The sequence below is a fragment of the Homo sapiens genome, chromosome 21 (genome assembly GCF_000001405.40).
Source record: "Homo sapiens chromosome 21, GRCh38.p14 Primary Assembly".
Taxonomy (NCBI): domain Eukaryota; kingdom Metazoa; phylum Chordata; class Mammalia; order Primates; family Hominidae; genus Homo; species Homo sapiens.
The window spans coordinates 32,899,731-32,921,693 of NC_000021.9; the positions used below are offsets into that span (position 1 = coordinate 32,899,731).

Below are 21,963 nucleotides of genomic sequence, written 5' to 3' on the forward strand. Positions count from 1 at the left end.
CCACCCTATGGAAGTGATCAAAGTTGACACCACTCGCAATGGGACAAACTGACATCATTTGGCTCCTGATATGATGCACTGAGAAGGGCACAGCATTGCTTATGTAATACACCTGTCAAATGCACAATTAAGCAGCTTGAATTCACATTGTGGAATAGTCTGCAAAGCCACTGGCCGGCACTCTTCAAGAATGTTATGACTTGAAAGACAAAGAAAGGCTAAGGAACTTTTCCAGATTAACAGAGACTAAAGAGACATGGCAACAAGCTGCAATACGTGATCAAGATTGGAGCCTGGGTCAGGGGAAAATTGTCCCAAAGGACATTTTTAGGATGATTGGCAAAAATTAAATATGGGCTATCTATTAGATAATGGTATTATATTAACATTACATTTTCTGAGTTTGATTAATTGTGCTATGATCAGAGACTCTCCATGCCATGTTCTTGGGAAACATACACTAAAGTGTTTGGGGGTAAAGAAAGGGGTTGAGAATAGCCAGAGCAAGCCTAAGCACAAAAAAAAAAAAAAGCTGGAGGCATCATACTACCTGACTTCAAACTATACTATAAGCCTATAGTAACCAGAACAGCATGATACTGGCACCAAAATGGACACATAGACCAATGGAATAAAATAGAAAACTCAGAAATAAAGCCACACACTTACAACCATCTGATCTTCGATAAGGCCAACAAAAACAAGCAATGGTGAAAGGACTTCCTATTTAATAGATGTTGCTGGGATAGCTGGCTAGCCATATGCGGAAGATTGAAACTGGACCCTTACATATCACCACATACAAAAATTAACCCAAGGTGCATTAAAGATTTAAATGTAAGACCTCAAACAATAGAAATCCTACCAGAAAACCTAGGAAATACCCTTCTTGACATCGGCCTTGACAAAGAATTTTTGGCCAAGACCCCCAAAACAACTGCAACAAAAACAAAAATTGGCAAGTGAGATGTAATCAAACTAAAGACATTGTGCACAACAAAAGAAACTATCAATAGAGTAATGGACAACCTACAGAGGGGGAGAAAATATTCACAAATTATTCATCTGACAAAGGTCTAAAATCCAGAATCTATAAGGGACTTAAATCAACAAGCAAAAACCAAATAACCGCATTAACAGATGGGGAATGGACACAAACAGACACTTCTTAAAAGAAGACGTGCAAGTGGCCAAAAAACATATGAAAAAATTCTCATCATCACTAACCATCAGAGAATGCAAAACCAAAACCACAATGAGATACCACCTCACACCAGTCAGGATGGCTGTTACTAAAAAGTCAAAAACCAACAGATGCTTCTGAGGCTGTGGAGAAAAGGGGACAGTTATACACTGTTGGTGGAAAGGTAAATTGGTTCAGCCACCGTGGAAAGCAGTTTGGAGATTTCTCGAATAACTTAAAACAGAGCTATCATTCAACCCAACAATTCCATTAGTGGGTATATACCCAAGGGAAGATAGATCATTATACCAAAAAATATATATACTCATATGTTCATCGCCATGCTATTCACAATAGCAAAGACATGGAATCAACCCAGGTGCCCATCAATAGGCAATTGGATGAAGAAAATGTGGTACCATGGAATACTATGCAGTCATAAAAAGAATGAAATCATGTTCTTTATGTCAACATGGATGGAGCTGGAGGGTGTGATCCTAAGCAAACTAATGCAAGAACAGAAAACCAAATACTACTTATTCTCATTTATAAGTGGGAGCTGATCATTGAGCACATAGGGACATAAACATGGGAATAATAGATGCTGCAGAATACTAGAGGGGAGAGGGAGGGAGGGGGCATGGGCTGAAAAACTACCTACTGGGTGCTATGCTGACTACCTGGATGAAATATACCCATGTCGCTAACTTGCACATGTACCCACCCCTGTATCTAAAATAGAAGTTGAAGGTTTAAAAAAAAAGAAGAAAGAAAGAAAGGGGTTGAGGATGCAATGAACTCTCAAACAGTTTAGGAAAATAAAGTGAGAAGGTGAATCTCAGGATACACATGAGAAAGAGAGATAGGGAGATTGAGAGACTGTGGGAGAAAGAGAGACAGAGAGAGATGGGGGAGAGGACTTATACTATGAGAGTTTTTGTATTATTCTGGCGACTCTTCTGGAAATTTGGAATCATTTCAAAGTAAACAACATGAAAAAAAAAAAAGAATTGGGGCTGAAAGATGCAAGCAGCCTTAAGACATTTCCCATGTTTGTATGGTTTCCTCTCTACTGTGTTGCCCCCGCACTTGACAGGACAAAAATGGAGTAGCGCTAAGAGGGTGGAGATGGAGAGGAATAAAAGTATAAGGTGGAAAAAAGAAAAGAAACCAGCCAAGTCCTTGTGCCCACCATGGCTTCCAGCCTGAAAAAGGTCTGAGCTGGGGTTGAGGAGAAAGATGAACACCACTTCCAGGTTGGAACTGTTATCTATATATGTCACAGATGTCCTAATATCAGAAATAAGACAGTATTTTTGACTTAAAGTGCATGTCGAACTCCTGAGACCTGCGGAAACTTTTACCTAAAGCAGGGGAAGATGATTACCACTGAATATTCAAGTGGTGAGAGGCCAGAAATACAGTTTCATCTTTAATCGTGTCCCATAAGTAAAGTTCTCTCCTGTTGCCAGTCTGGGAGAAAGAGGTCGTTTTAGTTAAGGAAGCCTGCTGTTTCTTTGCACTCTCATTACATAATTACTTGTAGAAACCCATGCTTGACAGAGTTTCTCACTTATTGTAAACAGCGTGGATAATGCCTTAGAAAATCTGTTAACTTCCCAGTTGTCAGGTGACATCTTGAATAGGGGTGCTTAAGAATGGGGCATTGAGCAGCAGCTGGCGAGGGCTAAGGAGACAGCTTCCCCAGCCTCGCAGTTTGGGCGTGGCTTGACTTAGAACCCACAGACTTCCACAGAGCACCTCCGTGATGGGGCCCTGCATATATAGTTTTATTCCTGGTATGATTTGAAGGTCCTTGCTATGGGATTGCAAGGCAGGTGTTACTTTCTTCACCTCAGGAAGGATTTACAAAGGACTCCTTACACTTAGATGGCCTGAGAGTCATTCACAGAGCCTGAGACAGACAGAAGGAAGGGTCAGGTACTGCAGTACATGGGCCCAGGAGATCTGAGATGGGTCCCTGCCCTGCCCCTGCTTGGCTAAAGGACCTTGGATTTCTCACTTCACCACTCTCGACCTTGGCGGCTTGTCTCATCTGGAAATGGAACATGAGAGTTGTCAGAATTAAAATGGAGTCACTATGTTAAAAACCCAACCTCACAAATAGAGCCAGGGAAAGCCATGAAGAGAGGGCTCTTACGTTTGTGTGCTTGATAACACAAACTGTCACAAAAGACTGCAAAAGCCGCAACCCTGCACAGAGGCCATCACAACCTTACACAAAGAGTACTTCTGCAGGAACATCTGCGCAGCAACTGTCTGCCCAACCTTGACTGGAATCACCCTTGGTATTGATATTTGTAGCCAAAGATAGTTACCTCAAAACAATGATGTGCTCACCTCAGTTCTTCCTCTAAAAACCTTTGTATTCCTTCACCTCCCTAACTATGCATGTAATTTACTGTGGCACATGTATTCTCATTGCAATGCTGTGTTCCCAAATCAATATCTTATTCTTTTACAGAGCCTCTCTCTGTTTGTTATCTAGGTTGGCTGGAAAGTGGTCTCAACTCTACCCACAGTCCCTTCTCATCCATGAGTCTCTGATTATCTTCTTTGGAGAGATGCTCAGAGCTCAATAAGCCCAAATAGTCCTTTATCACTCAGGGTACAGCAGGCAACAGACAGCATGCTCAAATTGTGTTATTTGAGGAAAGTGTAATAAAGGGACCCTTTACAATGATGTGGGCAGGTTACAGGGCAGCCACAAGGAGTACTGTGGTGTTTCTGGGCTAGTAATCATGGTGGGCACTTACCCTCTTCAGGCCTAAGAGCGCAGGAGCCTGAGACACAGAGGGCTGGGGTTGGAGGGATTTGGCCAGCCTGCAGTGACCCCAGAGAGGGATCAGGAGAGGACATGGACTGATCTCACATTTCTATCCCCATCTCTTCTGCAGCCCATGACGTCCCCATTGACTGGAGACAACCAGAAGTTGGAGAGCAGGGGAGCCCATTGATGTGGCCCTTTGAGGTCAGACCCATGGCATAGAGCAGGGGTGGAAGCAGGGCTGGAGGGGCAAATGAGAGACATCCAGCACAGGGTACCCTTCATCCCCCAGTGTTTATGTTTGTCCTTTACCCAGGTTATAAATGTGTGTCCCCAAAAAGGACAAAGTCATTCAAAGTCCCAAAACCTAAAATATTAGCCACCTTCATTCAAGGTAATGAGGGGAAAGGGAAAGGAATGGCTGATGTGTATAACCACCATAGTACCTGATGGAGCAGGTTACAAGTCCAGGTTGGCCATCACAGCTGCCTTCTTCCTACCACCCTTCTACAGTTCCCTTTGTCTTATGCCAGTTTCGGTTTGCCTAAGTTCTTTACCTAGAGGGATGAGCTAAGCCTTCATTCTGGAAGTATCTCTGTCCTTGGAGATCTTTTCTCCATTGTCTAAGCCTACTGGGCAAGGAAGTACTAAGAAAGTTCCCAGTGTATCTCTGGGGATCCACACATAGAACTCCATTCCCCCATTAGGTAACTTGCTCCTTGGTTATTGGAATCAACTACTGTGTTCAACACAGTGACCCTTTCTCTGCTTGCTGATTAAGCAGCAGGCAGATTTCTCCCCAAAACGCATGACTTGGAAAGCATGTTCCCCTTGGACACTGTATCAGTCAGGGTTCCAGCAAAAAACAAAACAAACAAACACAGAACAAGTAGCATATATACATCAAGAGATATATTGCAAGGAATTGGCTTATGAGGTTGTGGCAGCCACCTAGGCAAGTCTAAAATCCAGAGGGTAGGCCATCAGGAAGGGCCACCTGGAACTCTAGGGCAGGAGCTGATGCTGCAGGTCAAAGGCAGACTTTCTTCCTCAGGGAAGCCTCAGCTCTGCTCTTAAGGCCTTTCCACTGATTGGAAATCTCCACCCAGAGTGTAGAGGACAATCTCCATTCCTTAAAGCTAGTGATTGTAGATGCCAATCACATCTGCAGGATACCTTCACAGCAACACCCAGATTCATACTTGATTGAATAACTGGGTATTACAGCCTTGCCAAGTTGACACTTCAAACTGACCATTACAGGCACTAAGATCTCCACACCCTCCCAGTCTAAGAAGATAGGGATGGGATGCAAACATCCCTCCAAAGAGTTTCACGACATGATAGTGACAGGGATACTCTTATCTCCCCCACTCACCCCCCAGTCCCATGGATTCTGACTAAAGGAAAGACAGCACCAAACCTTAGATATCTTTAAGGACACATGGGGCAGAGGTAGACAGCTCTCTGACCTCCCAGCATCTTGTCTCCCACCTAGAACTATACCCGAGCCATCCTCAGGCCACTCCACTTTTTATTAAACCAGAAGTTTCTGGGTGATGTGGCCCTTTGGGTTAATCTGGGCATGAGTTCATTGCCACACTTCCTTTGCCCTAAAATATGTCACCTGATCAGAGGTGATAATATAGGATACTATGGCAATGATGGAGGAATTCTGCAAGTGCGGGAATAGTGGTACTGATCAAAGCATTATGAATAGGCATGTTAGTCCATTTTGTGTTGCTATAAAGGAATACTTGAGGCTGGGTAATTTATTTTTAAAAAGAGGTTTATTTGGCTTATGGTTTTGCAGACTGTACAAGAGGCATGGCACCAGCATCTGCTTCTGGTGAGGCCTCAGGAAGCTTTTACTCATGGTAGAAGGTGGAAAGTGAGCCAGTGTGTCACAGGCTGGGAAAGGGTGGGGGGGTGAGAGAGAGAGAGAGAGAGGGAGAGAGAGAATGATGCTAGGCTCTTTTAAACAATCAGATCTCACGTGAACTAAAAGAGCAAGAGTGCACTCCTTACCTCAGGGAGGGCACCAAACCATTCATGAGGATCTGCCTCGTGACCAAAACACGTCCCACTAGGCCCCACCTTCAACATTGAGATCACATTTTAACATGAGATTTGGAGGGGACAAACATCCAAACTATATCAATAGGGAAGGCAAATCTGTATCAGAGATATATCTATCTCTGTGAAGAATAAGTTCTACCACCTTCATGATGGAAGGGCCCTGTGGGGGTTACTTTCATGTGTCAGCTTGGCTGGGACATGGTGGCCAATTGTTTGGTCAAGCACCGGACTAGATGTTCCGGTGAGAAGATATTTTAGATACGACTGGTATTTAAATCCATGGACTTTATTAAAGCAGATTGTTCTCCGTGATGCATGTTGGCTTCATCCAGTCCACTGAAGGCCTTAAGAGCAAAGACTGAGGTTTCCTGAGGAAGAAGGAGTTTCCAGCCTGCTGCCCTATGGAATTCATACTCAATACTGCAGCATCAACTCTTACATAGGTTCAGATTTTGGACTTGCCAGTTTCCACAGTTTCGTGAGCCAATTCCTTAAAATAAATCTCTTTCTCTCTCTTCTATTGGTTAAGTTTCTCTGGAGAACTCCCATTAATACAGGGTTCAATATAATCAACTTGCTGGTATCCCTGGGAAATAGTAACAGCTTAGAGGCTCAGATACAGTCTCTGCTGTTGACAAATTGGAAACTCATCAATAGCTGTAGCTAAATCAGCCCTGGCGAGGAAAAGTCCATAGTGATGAACCCATGTATAAACCTCCACCCCTGCCATATGGCCACTTTGTATCTGAGCCCATTGAGTGAGCCACATGGTTAGTCAACCTCTACAGGACAGGTCAACTTAACCACCTCAATTATTCTGCTCAAGCTGCTGTAGCGAGATACCACTGACTGGTTAGCTTAAACCATAGACATTTAGTTTCTCAAAGTTCTGGAGGCTGGAAGTCCAAGATCAAGGTGTCAGCAAGGTTAATTTCTGGTGAGGACTCTATTCGTTACTTGCAGATGGCTACCTTCTTTGCTGTGTCCTCACTTATCCTCTTTTCTGTGTGTGCAGAGAAAGAGCTCTCTGGTGTCTTTTCCTTTTCTTATCAGGACACCAGTCCTACCAGATTAGGGCCACACTCTTATGACCTCATTTAACCTTAATTACCACCTTAAAGGCCCCATCTCTGAATATAGTCACATTGAAGAGTTAGGGCTTCAACATGTGAATTTGGGGGGCGGGGTTAGACACAATTCAGTCCATAACACCACCTGATTTTTGAGAACCTCCTCCACAGTGAATGCCCTGTAGTGAAGAAGGCATGAATATCCATGCCCATTCTAAGAGATCCATCCACATACTCCCAGACCTCTTTATCATCAATTTTCAAGTCTTGTTCCAAGTCACTGACTGGCTAACCAATCCGTCAGTCACTCACCATGGATTGGACTGGATCTACACCTCTGGCCACCTTTCCTGATTGCTTCCTGGATCTGCATAGATATCAGCACCTCATCCTCAGCCTTCCTCACCGCCTGATTTTCAAGCTTTCTGGCCTAGGCTATGACCTCAGCTCAGATGTTGAATTTAAGTGTAAGCTTGCAGAGCAAAAGAAACTAATGAGGATTCCCTGAGTAACAATGAGTGAATAGGCAGGAGCCCAGTGGTGGGCTTGCAGATGGCTACCTTCTTTGCTGCGTCCTCACTTAGCCCCCATTCCCCAAAGCATGTGCCATAGGACCATCAGAAGCCAGCTGGCTCCCAAATGTTTAGAATCACTATAGGATCAAAGTCTCTTTACACTTTGCCCTCAACTTGAACTTTATCTCATGCCAGCACTGTTCATAATTTGAGTAATAACACATCACAGTGTGCCACGGATTACCTGTGTGCCATTTCCCCTTGGCAAGATAGGTATTACGGGGCAATGCAAATAGATGAGCAACTAGTGGCTTGCTGGTAAGTGTTGAACAACTGATTCTTAAAAAGAAAGGAGGAAGGTGAGGAAGGTTAGAAAGGAAAGGAGGGAGAAAGGTAGGGAGGGGAGAAACAAAGAAAGAAACAAAAAAGAGAAAAGAAAGAAGCCCTCATTGGTAGCATTTGCAAATTTCTATGGTATAAATATTCCCTACTATGGCTGATTTCAATCTACCAACATAATTTCACTGAACACGTAGTTGGAAAGAGATGTACACAGTCAGCTCTTGTAAGCCAGTCATAGCTGGCTCCAGCACACCACGTGGCTATCTCAATCTTCAGAGTCTGTTCTGAGGGTCTGTTTCCTGGGGCTACTCCTGGAACCCATTACTGTATCAGTCAGGGACCTAGCAACAAATAGATGGCCCACTAATAGGGAGTAATTTGAGAAAATTTTAACAAAGTAATTATTTACAAATAGTATTTTATAATTATTTAATTATCAGTTAATTTAATAATTATTCATTATAATTAATAATATATACAATGTATAATATATAAATTATATAATATATTTATTATAATTAATAATTATAGAAATATATTTTTATATTATATTGTATATATAGATGTATAAAATATTTAATATATAAATTGCATATTATATAAAATTTAAATGAGATTTATAAGATATATAAATTAATTAATTATATTTATAATTTATAAGTATGCATTTATAAATTTATATACATTATTTATAATGTATATACTTAATTATTATCTTATTAATTATATAATTATATTATTAGTTGCCTAATTACACTTATATAATTAATTTATATAGTTATATTTATATAATTATAACAAATATAACTATATAACTTATAATTATATTTTATCTATATATGGAAATATTTTATATATTATAACATATAAATAGTATAATTATAATGAAAATATATGAAAATATAAATAATAAATAATTATTCATTTAATAATTATTTAATTATTATTTACGAGTTAAGAGTGGGTAGGGTCTAGAGAAACCACAAAGGACAGTGAAGGTTTCTTGGGCTAGTAAGAGCAGGGCTCTGTTACAGTCCCTGGGCCTGAAGTGCAGAGGGAAAGAGCAGTTACTGGAACATGGAGACAGAGAGAAAGCCACGTGACAAGTCCTGGGTGCTTTGGTCAAGGAATGAAGCCAGCCTTATATCAATTCCTTAGGGAGGGAGCTGTAATTTCTTTTCCTCCTGCCCTCCAAACTACAATTTTTCCTCGTTGGTAGGGTGACCAATCGTCTCAGATTGCCTGGGATTATCCTGGTTTTAGCAGTTAAAGTCCTAAATCCTGGAAAATCAATTCGGTGATATGCACAGAAGCTTGGGGGAAATGTGTAAAAACCATATGGTGGCCCAAAAAATAGGGGCTGAATGCAATACTGTTTTGGCTGTAAATGGGTACAGTGCAGATGATCCACCTTCCATAACCCCTGTTGCTGTTTCTCCCCTGACTGCTCAGGTTGGGGACCACAACTTGTCATTCAGAATAGTGGATCATCCACGGTTGCAACTTTCCCAAGGTTGCAACTAAGTGTGCGTCACAAGTACACTGCAATCACAGGCATTAAGAGTCTGTCTTTGACTTTACCTGTGAACTAACTGTTGTCCTTTGTATCAAGATAGTGCTCATTTAATTTTTAGCAGTTGTAAATATTGTGGCCATATTTTCTAAGAGTTCAGATAATTAAAAAAGATAGTGATTACAATACCAATGCTGGCGTAAACCAAGGCATCACTGGAAAAGAAGGCTAACCAACTGTGTTATCTTAATGACATATGGAAGGACATGTACAACCAGATTAGAGAGGTAAATAATCAAAACAGAGCACGCTGCTCAATATGCAGAAAAGAGTTTTGAGCCAGGCACAGTGGAGAAGGGGATGTGAAAGTGCATGTGGAGACGACATCTCACAATTCTAAGATGAAACCGATATCCCTAAGTCAATCAAAAAACGTTGTCTACCAAAAAATGTCCAGTCAAAAATAGCAGCTGCTGCATTAGCTCAGTCATACCACACAAATCACTTTATCAAATCACTCTTTTGATCATTTTATAGGATTCAGTAAGGCTATATTTCCTGATTCAGAGGTTACAACTGAAATGTCTTGCAAACAAACAAAAGAGATGAATAAAAACAATAAGAGATGTGTTGGTCCCTTACATGGTAGAACTGATCTTTTCCTATCTTCCCCACAATCATGCTTTCTGCAGCTCTGAGTTTATAAGCTCTTATAAACTCAGAATATAAACAGCACTTATCAGAATATAAACAGTGTTTCTGCAGCACTCAGTTTATAAACTCAGAAAATGTAAACCAAAAGATTACTGATACCTTATCTGAATAAAAACTAGACATTTACATCTCTAACCCCAGTGCCTTGGGAGGCTGAAGTGGGAACCTTTCCTGAGGCCAGGAGTTCAAGACAAGCCTGGGCAAAATGGTGAGACCCCCTGTATTAGTCTGTTTTCATGCTGCTGATAAAGACATACCTGAGACTGGGCAATTTACAAAAGAAAGAGGTTTAATGAACTTACAACTCCACGTTGCTGGGGAGGCCTCACAATCATGGTGGAAGGTGAAAGGCATGTCTTACAGGGCAGCAGGCAAGAGAAAAGAGCTTGTGCAGGGAAGCACCCCTTTATAAAACCATCAGATCTCATGAGACTTATTCACTATCATGAGAACAGCATGGGAAAGACCTGTCCCCATGATTCAATTACCTCCCACCTGGTCCCTCCCACAGCACATGGGAATTCAAGATGAGATTTGAGTGGGGACACAGCCAAACCATATCACCCCCCATCACTACAAAATATATATATATAAATACATAAAAAGAATAAAAATAAAAACTAGACTTTGTTAATCTACCTACAGATATGACTGAGAATGCAAAGGTAAATTTTGGCAAATTATTTTCAGTCTATAAACTTCTTACCAATGAAAATGGAAAACTCTTATCTGCTAATTGTCATATATTTAGGGGGTGTGATTTGCTTATCTGGGATATTGATGATTTCATAATGAAAGCTTTTGGTCAGCTTTCATTTCTTTCAAAATGTGTAGAAACAATGAGACTTTTGACTTTGTAGAAATGGTAGGAGGTAGTCTCCTTAGACGCATGCCTACAAGGTGGCTATTATCATTGCCTGCCATAGAGAAAATATTAAATTGTTGGTCTATTGCAAAGTAATATTTTCAAAGTTTGGGATAAGAAGGATGTCCCTGTTTAATTTGGAAATACACTGAGGCTGATAATGGAGACAAGGACAGAACTTATGTGCTCTTTCTCCAAAACTGTTTGGTGGTATTTGAAGAGCCCATAAGGAGCATAGAAAAGGATGGGCAGACTGGACTTCAGTTATTTGATGTTATGTGGACATTGTGAAAAAACTCACTAAAAAAAGGACTTAGCAGATGAGGACAATAAGGCTTAGATTCATTCTAAAAAGTGATACTTTAAAAAATAATAATAAAGCAGGTTTAAAACTATAAAAAACAGAAAATGGCAACAGAGCTTTCTTAATTTCTCTACTAAATTGGTAGTTTATTTGTAATCCAATTTAAGATTTTAAAACTTAAAATTATCTCTGTGCTTTAATACCATTTTCTGTGAGAAACAAAGGTTTAACTTATAATGCCATCCAATGTACTTCAGACTAGGTAAAATGATGGCCGTTTTGGACATGACTGACTCATATAACTAATTTATTGATACAAAGAATCTCACTGAGAAACATCTGGTTTTTCAAAATAAGTCTTTAGATACAAAGTGGATGGACAATCTTGGAGAGCTGCAAACTAATTCTTGCTTGTCTAAAAACTTGTTCTTGCTAGCGGATTACATGGCAAAATTTTAAAAGGGTTTCACAGAATGTATGTGTTTACTATACATTATTATTACCCTTTCTCCAGAGAAACAGAAGCAATAAAAAAGCTATCATCTTATTGTCTATCTATCATCTATCTATCTATCTATCTATCTATCCATCCATCCACTGAGAAATTTATTTGAAGGAATTAGTCCACACAATTGGGGCTGCAAGGCTGAGATCTGCAGGGCAGGTGTCAGGCTGGAGACTCAGGGAAGAGTAGATGTTGCAAACCTGAGTCCAAAATCCACTGGAAACTCAGGCAGGGTTTCTATATTGCAGTCTGGAAACAGAGCTCCTTCTTCCCTGGGAAACCTCAGTCTTTGCTCTGAAGGCCTTTGACTGTTTGGAAGAGGCTCATTCACATTAAGGAAGGTCATCCGCTTTACTCAAAGTCTGCTGATTTATGTGTTAATCATATCTAAAACATACCTACACATCAACATCTAGAGTAGTGTTTGACAAGACAACTGGGCACCGTAGCCTGGATGACACATATAATTAACCATTAATTCCTGTAGGGGCGCCACATTAAAATGCTTTTTTTGAGAACATTGTTAGCTCAATGTCATCACCTTGGGCTGACACCAGGGCTCAGTGTAATATGGGCTTGATAAGAGGACAGCTGTGGCCGGGTGCGGTGGCTCACGCCTGTAATCCCAGCACTTTGGGAGGCTGAGGCAGGCAGATCACTTAAGGTCAGTAGTTTGAGACAAGCCTGGCCAACATGATGAAACCCCGACTCTACTAAAAGTACAAAAATTACCTAAGCGTGGTGGCAGACACCTGTAATTCCAGCTACTCAGGAGGCTGAGGCGGGAGAATTGCTTGAACCCAGGAAGCAGAAGTTGCAGTGGGCCAAGATCACGTCACTGCACTCCAGCCTGGGTGACAGAGCAAAACTCCATCTCAGAAAAAAAAAAGAAGACAGCTTTAAGACGAAGTGAATTTTACATTTGACTATGTTGAGTTTTTCTACTACATGCAAGAGAAATAAGGATGTACTAAAGGCTCTTGAAAGTTCAGAGAAGTATTAGCAGAAAAGGAAACAGAAGGAGCAAAAATATCCTACTGTATCATTGAATAGAAAAAAACATATTATTGCTATTTTTTATTAAATCTAGATAATATCTACTTAATTAGTCCTATTGTATTTATGTTTTCTTTTAAAGGGCTTACATTTATGTATCTTAGAGATATACAACAATGTAGCTTACAAAATTTAAGAATCCAATAAACAGTTAAAATAAATTTCTGGTATCAGAGGACAGAAAGAAACATTATAAAAATATTGTTTTCTCATATATTATTTGTTAATTAATCCTGCTATGAATTACTCTTAATTGCCACTATTACCTAGTACTACTATTATTTTGTTTAAATAATAGCATTTATATAACAGAAAATATTGAGTAACATATATAAATTTTAAACAAATACCTATTTTTCATATCTTCATGTTAAAGTAATAACACGTGTATATAAGTACTTATCATATATTATGTTACTGCGGGGGGTGGTGGTTGTTTTTTAGTCTTTTAAAAATATTTTATTTTATTTTTTCTTCAACTTTTATTTTAAGTTCTGGGGTACATGTCTAGGATGTTCTGGGGTACATGTCTAGGATGTGCAGGTTTGTTACATAAGTAAACACGTGCCATGGTTGTTTGCTGCACAGATCAACCCATCACCTAGGTATTAATCCCAGCGTTCCTTAGCTATTCTTCCTAATGCTCTCCCTACCCCCAAACCCCCTTCCCCTTATTTTTAGTGTTTTTTGTTTTTTGTTTTTTTGAGATGCAGTCTCGCTCTATTGCCCAGGCTGGAGTGCAGCAACACAATCTCAGCAGCTCACTGCAACCTCTGCCTCCCAGGTTCAAGCAATTCTCCTGCCTCAGCCTCTCGAGCAGCTGGGATTATAGGTGTGTGTTACCATGCCCGGCTAATTTTTTTATTTTTAGTAGAGATGGGATTTTACCATGTTGGTCAGATTGGTCTGGAACTCCTGACTTCAAATGATCCTCCCACCTTGGCCTCCCAAAGTGCTGGGATTACAAGTGTGAGCCACCATACCCAGCCTGTTTTATAGTCTTATATGGCCCTGTCCCAGGTTGATTCTCTAAATCATTGGTCATTCTGCCATTGGTCAGACATAGCCAGGAGCCAGAGAGTAGGGAACCTGTTGCTATAACCCATGCAGATAAAGGACACAGAACAGAGCAGAGGTAAGTGAAGAATGGGTTTGGAGAAGCAAATGGCAGCCCTCTGAGTTGCTGGCTTGTTGTTGGTATTAATATGATCTCGGTGGTCCAAGACCACCAACAGCACGGCAACACTGACAGTTCAGCAGGGAAATGGAGAGTGCCGATTTCCACAGAGGTACCAGGGTTTCCCAGGGCTGCTTCCTAATCTCCTTTCAAGAAATGGTAGCACTTCTTATATCCCAGAGAGTGTCAAGTGAGTGCGACTTTTCGTCCCTGTGTCTATGGCCAAAAGCATGCAGTCATCTTGTGCTTCAGTTTTCTCTTCATCCTATGGCTCAGTTTTCTCTTCATCTGTAAAATGAAAAAAAAAAAATACAGATTTGTTGAGGGATTAGGGATAAAAGATATGAAGGTACTTTGAAAAATGTAAGAAGTGAATGATTTACTGGCATTTCTCTCTTCTGCCATTCAGGCCACTGGAGCACTTTTCAAAAAATAATGCTATTCTAAAGTTGGATATTTGGTTCTAACCAGGAAGTAATAACTATCATAATAATGGAAGACATTTATTGAGGGCTGACTGTGTGCCCTCACAGTCAATTCTCACAGAGAATCTGTGGGACATGTTTTCCCATGGCTTATCTTCTTTAATCCTCAGAACAACTGCAGGAAGTTATACTATTGATGTATGTTGCAGATGAGGAAAATAAGGCTTAAAGCATTAAATAACTTGGCCCAAGTTTCCATAACAAATAAGTAATAGATCTGGGACTTGAACCCAGGCAGTCTTTAGACCACTAAGCACTCTGACTTCCTAATCATAGCACTTTGTAAAGCCAAGGTAACAACTAGGCGACTATTTCCTGTAGGGAGATTGTTTTGATAAAATATTGCAGAATGGTCATGAGAAATATACACAACGGGGAAAGTTAAACCCCATCAAGATTTATGCTTTGAGCCCCCCATCTGTATCAATGCAGAGTAATGGTAGAGTTTTTAAAAATGACCATGCTGAAAAAAAAGATAACATCTCTGTGGGCTAGAAACTCAAAACGGAAATCAGCTACTGAAGCTAGCAGCCTACTGGGTTGTGAATCTGCAAGCAGTCAAAGGAAGCAGAGAGTTCATTTTCTGCAGTGATTGGAAGGCAGAAGAACAGAGCCAGGGTGGAATGTGGCTCCCTCTTATAAGAGAATATAAAATGCTTACATCAACCCCTGCATAACTGAAAATACAAGATGAGAGAAGGCAAATACAGCCTTGCATCCAGCATCTGGCCATTTTACTAAGTGGCTCAGTGACTAGAACTAAAATATCCCCAGTTATCTCTGTAAGATGAGCACTCTGAAAGCCCACTGTAAGATGTGATTCTGAACCAGAGACTCTAAGAGGGCACATAGACACAAGAAACCACTAGAAAAGGAATGGTGAGTACAGGGCCACTGCAACAAAATGAAATAAAACAAAAATAAACTAATTAAAAAAAATTAAAAGTCAAGAGATGAAATCACTTAAGAGAAAATGAAATCAATGATGTAATCTGAAAATGATTTAAAAAGTCACTATGCTGAATATCTTCTAAGAGTTAAAGGAAAGATGAACAGGATGTTTTTTTAAAAAAAGGACAAGAAATTAAGAACTTGAACCAGGCAGAAATGAAAAAAAGACAGATAGATATGAAAAAGAATCATTTAGAAATCTTGGATTAAAAGGCGAAAGCAGCTAATTACTGAAATTTACAAAGCCCAATAGATGGGATAAACTTTAGATTGGATAGCTAAAGAGAAAATTGACAAACTGGAAGATGATTATGGAGGAACTCATCTAGAATGTAGCACAGAGTGATAAATTATCCAAAAGGCCAACAATGAAAGAATATGTTTGACATCATTAGTCTCAGATTACATTTTTAAGAAACATACATATTGGTTGCATACATATTGGTTACAAGTCAGTCCTAAAGCAAAATGAAACAGAAATGCTGAAAATGTGGGGATATAAGAAGCTGCCATGTGTAAAAGCTGAACAAATGCTGTATTAGTCAGGGTTCTCCAGATAAACAGAACTAATACAATGTATACAGAGATAGACAGAGATTTCGTATAAGGAATTGGTTCACATGATTATGGAAGCCAAGTTCAAAAATCCGCAGGGTGAGTTGGCAAGCTGGAGACCCAGTGGAGCCCCAGCAGCCTCCAGACCCAGGAAGAGCTGATGTTTCAGTTTGCATCTGAAGAGAGGAAAAAGTTGATGTCCTAGTTTGCAGGCAGTCAGGCAGGAGGAATTGTCTCTTACTTGGGGGAGGGTTGGCTTTTTTGTTCTATTCAGGCCTCCAGTTGATTAGATGAAGCCAACCCACATGAGAAAGGACAATCTGCTCTGCTGGGTCTCCTGATTTAAAAATGAATCCCATTCAAAAACAACCGCACATAAAAAACCATAATAATGTTAATCAAATATCTGGGCATCCTGTGGCCCAGTCAAGTTGACACACAAAGTTAACCATCACAATTGGCCTTGGGGAACTTAACAGGCACAGCACCCTGGTCAGCCAGGGAAATAGAGGGAGGAAGTGCTTGCTCCTTCTTGGCAAGAAAAGAGAATAGATCCTAAGCATGGAGGTCTCTAGGTGCAGATGGCTGGAGTTCTGGGTGCTGTGTTAGAAAACACTTGTGCTTTGAAGCCAGAGATGCCTGAGTGAGACTCTCTCCTATCAGCCGTTTGTCTTTGGATGTGTTACTTAATTCCTGAGTTTCAGTTTCCTCATCTTTTAAAAGAGACTAATAATAGTACCTATCTCAAAGGGATATTGAGAGGATTTTAAAAGATGATATATAAAATCCTTAGCAAACATCTGACATATGTTAGATCTCTGATGGTCAGCACTGGAATGTGGACAGCTGAGCCACCACTGGTGACACCATGACTGGGGAGGACTGTGAAGAGGAATGAGCCAGGACATAAGAGCCAACAGACAGCAGGTCTAAGTCCTGCTCTGCCTCCTACTAGCTGTGAAGCTTCCATTCCTCTTTCACAGGGTGTTTGCCTCTCATCTACAAACTGAGGGTGGTACACCTACCTCCAGACCCGTGTTTCTGAACTGAGGGACACTCCCCCTGCTGGATGTCCAGTGACATTCGGCTATGTCTGGAGACATTTTTGGTTATCACAGCTGGGTTGGGGGTGTGAATGGCACCTAGTAGGTAGAGGCTAGGGATGCAGCTCAGCATCCCACATTACCCAAGACAGTCCCTTACAACAAAGAATTATTCAGGCCAATGTGTCAGTTGTGCTGAAATTGAGAAACCCTGGGGTGAAAAACTTAAATGAGATCATGTTTATAAAAGGCTCGGCTTAAGAGATAAAAATGAAGGCTATGATCCTCCTCCTTTTTCTCCACCTCCTCCTTCCATGAAAGTGATTAGGCCAGGCACAGTGGCGTGCACGTGTAGTCCCAGCTACTTGGGAGGCTGAAGCTGGAGGATTGCTTGAGCCCAGGAGTTGGAGACTGCAGTGAGCTATGATTGTGCCACTACCAGCCTGGGAGACAGAGTGAGACTGAGTCTCTAAAAAAAAGATGGAGGGGGGAAAGAAAGAGGGATTAGATAGACAGTAGGTAGGTTCCTGCTCTTCTTCCCCATGCTTTCTTCCTGCCATGGCTGGGGACTAGCGAGGAGAAGGAAGTGTGACTGTCCCACTGCAGCATTCCCCCTGCTCAGAGCCCAGGAGGAAGGGAACTCACTTGCAGCTTTGCATAAAGAGAGTCTGCCAGCTGCAAGCCAAGTTCTGGAACACAGCTTCCGGGCAGCGGCCTCTGGAATGCTTTCTGGCTCTCTCTGCAGACTCAGCCTCCTGCAGCTCCTTGGCTAACCTGGCAGGAACCTCAGCCCAGGCCAAGGAGGCTGCAGCCAACCCGAGCCCCCTGATGGGCTTCCACCCCGACCTCCACAGCTGCTGGTGAGATTTGGCTCAGCCCTTAGTCATGACCCTTCCATAGACTGACTTCTTTAAAATTCACGAAGCCTTTTCTTTACAATTATGATTATGCCTGTCCTGTGTGCAGGCACCGAAGGAGGAGGAGATACTAGGAATGAAAGGTTAAGGGACAGAAAAGGAACATCCAGTCCTCCTGTAAAAGCTATCTCTCTGTGTTGTCCTTGGACTTGAGTCTTCCTGTGGCCTGTGACTAATGCTCACATCCCTGAAATTTCCCAGGACAGAAAAGACCCAATCACACAACCCCAGAAGAAAAACACCAACAAAACCAATTTTCTCTACAAACGTGCATGTGATAGCTCCGACCAGTTCTCTAAGCCATTCCCATCAGCCCAGGGTTCACAATCCAGCCCTCGGCTGGATTTCAAAGGTGGGAACAGGCTGGGTTCATGTCTGTAATCCCAACACTTTGGGAAGCCAAGGTGGAAGGATCACTTGAGGCCAGGAGTTCCAGACCAGCTTGGGCAACATAGCGAGACCCTGTTTCTAAAACAAAAACAAACCCAAAAAACAAAAAACAAAAATTAGGCAAGCTTGGTGTTACACGTCTATAGTCTCAACTACTTGCTTGAGGATGGGAGGATCACTGGAGCCCAGGAGTTGAAGGCTGCTGTGAGCTATGATGGTGCCACTCCAGCCTAGAGCCTAGGTGACAGAGAAAGACCCTGTCAAAAAAAAAAAGGGGGGGGGGTGGGGGGAGCAGACAGACCACACTCAATTCATCAAAAGGAGAATTGCTACTTTTCATTTGTTTAGCTACAGTAGAAAAAGTCTAATCACATAACTTTCCCTGGGGCTGCGGAAGATTTCTCCTTTGAGGCAGTTCCTCACAGTAACACTGTAATCGAAACAAAGCCTGCTCTTCTCATGCGGAGCATATTTTCTCCTGGAGAACCACAACTGGGTTTGCAAGGGTAGAGCCAGGCTCCTTCCCATAACATGCTTGCCTTGCCTGCCTGGGGTTGAACTTTTTTTTTTTTCCACAAGAGAGCCATAAACACATAGATACCAAAGAGTTAATTTGCGTTTTTTAAACCTTCTTCCCAAAGCCTGCTCTCATTCCTGCATAAAATCCCCATGTCCAGACATCAAATCAGTAAGCCCTGTTGCCTGTCAGAGAATACAATGTCAGGCCATTAGTATGTTAATAAGTCCGGAGGGCGACAGGTGGCCTACTAGACAGCTCAATTAAGCTGCTCATTAAACACACGCTAACGAACAGCCGAGGCAGGGCCTGAACAGCACCATTCTGTAATGACATGATGTCAGAGTGAACAAATGAGGAAAAATAACAAAAACATTACAGCAGGGACAGACGCCACTAATAAGGACCCCTCGCACTACATCAGCCCGCAAATCAATGAGTCACCGGGATCAAAAAACTCGACCCAACATTCTCAGGAGACTGAGTGCAGCAAGATTTTTTTGGTCACTACTAAAAAAAAAAAAAAAAAAAAAAAAAAAAAAAAGCCCAAACCCAACCCTAAAATTATTGCAAAATATCGCAAATTAACTGCTTTAAAAAAATGAAAAAGAGCAAAGTTTATTTGACACGGAGCTAATCACGAAGTCTGAGAAATCTGTATTGCTGGGTTTAAATGAAAATCATTATTTAATGGGATCATTATTTACATTTGATTGGCATCCTCTTTTTATAAGCCCACAGGTTTGAACCATTTCTCTGCTCTGGTACCCAGGCAGTAGAAGGGCACAGTGGAACGGAAGGAGCGTGTAGCCAAATTTCTTAGGTGAAGATTCTGCTTGTCATTATTTTAAGAGAAGGGACTTCCAGCAGCTGCTAGAGGTTTCTCTCATTTTCAAGTAAGGCGCTTCCTGAATAATAAAAAATCAAACCTCCGCCAGGCATGGCTCTGACATTGGAGACATATATTGCTAAACTAATAGGCTGGCTGGCCATTAGGAGATCACGACCTCGGCTCTTATCTTTTGTCAAGTTAACAGCTGACACCTCCTCTGCATGTAGACTTTCTTCTAGGCCTAAGGTAGATGCTGCTCCTCTAGCTAAGCTGGTGAGCTGAAGGCAGGCAGGAAACCAGTGCAGTTGGGCTTAAGGAGCTGACGCAGAGTCCCTCGGAAGCATGGTTCTTTCCATATTGGTTGAACTTTCTCTGCACAAATCTATGGTCCAAATCTATGAGTGAGGCAGATAAGGCTCTCACCTGAGTGACCCTGAGCAGGTCCCCTTAATCCCTGGCTCTGTTTCCTTATTCATATTTATTTTATTTTTAGAGACAGAGTCTCTCTCTGTTGCCCAGGCAGGAGTGCTGTGGTGTGATCATGGCTCACTGTAACTTCAAACTCCTGGGCTCATGTGATCCTTTGGCCTCAGCCACTGGTGTAGCTGGGACCACAGGCATGTGCTGCCATGGCTGGTTAATTTTCAGAATTTTTTTTGTAGAGATGGGGTCTCGCTATGTTGCCCAGGCTGGTCTTGAACTTTTGGGCTCATGTGATCCTCCTGCCTCTGCCTCCCACAGTGTTGGGATTACAGGCGTGAGCCACTGCACTCAGCTCTTTATTTATAAAATGTGATTGGACTGGGATTTCGCCTTGCCTTTTCCATTCTAGAAAGGACTTCAGCACAAAATAAGAGTAAAATCCTCATGGAATTTGCCATCTGGTTGAAAAGAAAAACTAGTGGCTGAAAATAGTCACGAAGAATTCAAGAACACAGTATAGTGTGTTACCTAGAATTATAAGAAGAATTTAAAAAAGGGAGACATTGGGGATTTGTAAGGGCTCCAGGCCAATTCCCTGAAATCAGCTGGGCCTGAGTGGGTGGAGCAGACGCAGGGAGAGGGCGGAGCTTCTGCCGACCTTGCAGAGTGAGTAGGATGGAAGGGCAGGAGGAGGTCCAAGCGACAAAGGCAGGCATGAGCATGGGGCCTGCATGCGTCTGGGTGTATGTGGACAGTGGGATGGGAGCTACCTGTGATCAGACCTGCTACATGGAGGCAAGCTGGGGGGTGCAAAGCCAGAGGAGACAGATGTGCAGGGGCAGAGGCAAGAGACATTTGGTGAGTGCAGAGGCCACAGCAATCTGGCTTTTTATCTCAGTGACTCTAAGGTCTGTCTTCAGGCTGATGGATGTGACAGCATGCCATCACTCGACAGATATTTACTGAGGTTCCCTCTTTGCTTGAGGAACTGTGGGGAATACAAAAATCAGAATATTCTGGACCTGCCCTCAGGGAGTTTATAATCGAGTCATTCCTTCAACTAATATTTCTTCAAGGACCTCTCTTTGCCAGGCTCTGCTAAGAATAATGGCAAATAATGGTTTCTTGGTCCCAGCCCTCGTGAGTTTATGGTCAAAGAGAAGAGACAGGCATATTATTTGACTAACTCCATTTCAAGTCAGACTGTGATGAATGTTGTGGCCAAGGTGGGAACAGAGACTTGTAGGAACACAGATAAGGGTGTGCTTAAGTCTGTCTGTGAGAATCACAGAAACTTCCAGGCACCTTCAAGGGCTCTAGAGCAGCACTGTCCAGTAGAACTTGCTGGAATGACAGGAATGTTCTTTACCTGCATTGTCCAGTGTGGTAGCCACATATGGCTGTTGAGCACTTGAGATGTGGCTAGAGTGACTGAGAAGCTGAATTCCTCATTTTAATCCATTGGAATTTAAATAGTCACATGTGATTAGTGGCCACCATATTGGATAGTGCAGCTGTAAAATGGTTAATAAAATGGTAGTGCAGATGACATGACTGGTGGTGCGATTTATGTGGAATGACATGTCTTCTTCCTTACAAAGGGCACTTTCCTTCTGTGCAAGGGTAGCAACATCCTAGAAGCCAGAGAAATAGCTGTTCCTTCAGTAATGCTATATCCCTTTGACCAACATCTCACTATCTTCATAGGCCACACACAGTGGGTGTATTGATTGATGCTG

At 41.8% G+C, this 21,963-nt stretch overlaps 1 long non-coding RNA gene across 1 annotated transcript in view, besides 1 other annotated feature; it reads left to right on the forward strand.

Moving 5' to 3' along the window:
* The window catches only part of LOC105377136 (uncharacterized), a 52,432-nt gene that overhangs the window by 20,027 nt on the left and 10,442 nt on the right, over positions 1–21,963 (forward strand). The window lies entirely within an intron of this gene.
* Positions 18,744–20,077: an enhancer, noted in NCBI's record as "VISTA enhancer hs1188". NCBI's record gives its function as "enhancer in: neural tube[3/6] | hindbrain (rhombencephalon)[3/6] | midbrain (mesencephalon)[3/6] | forebrain[3/6]" and the evidence as "EXISTENCE:transgenic organism evidence [ECO:0001131][PMID:17130149]".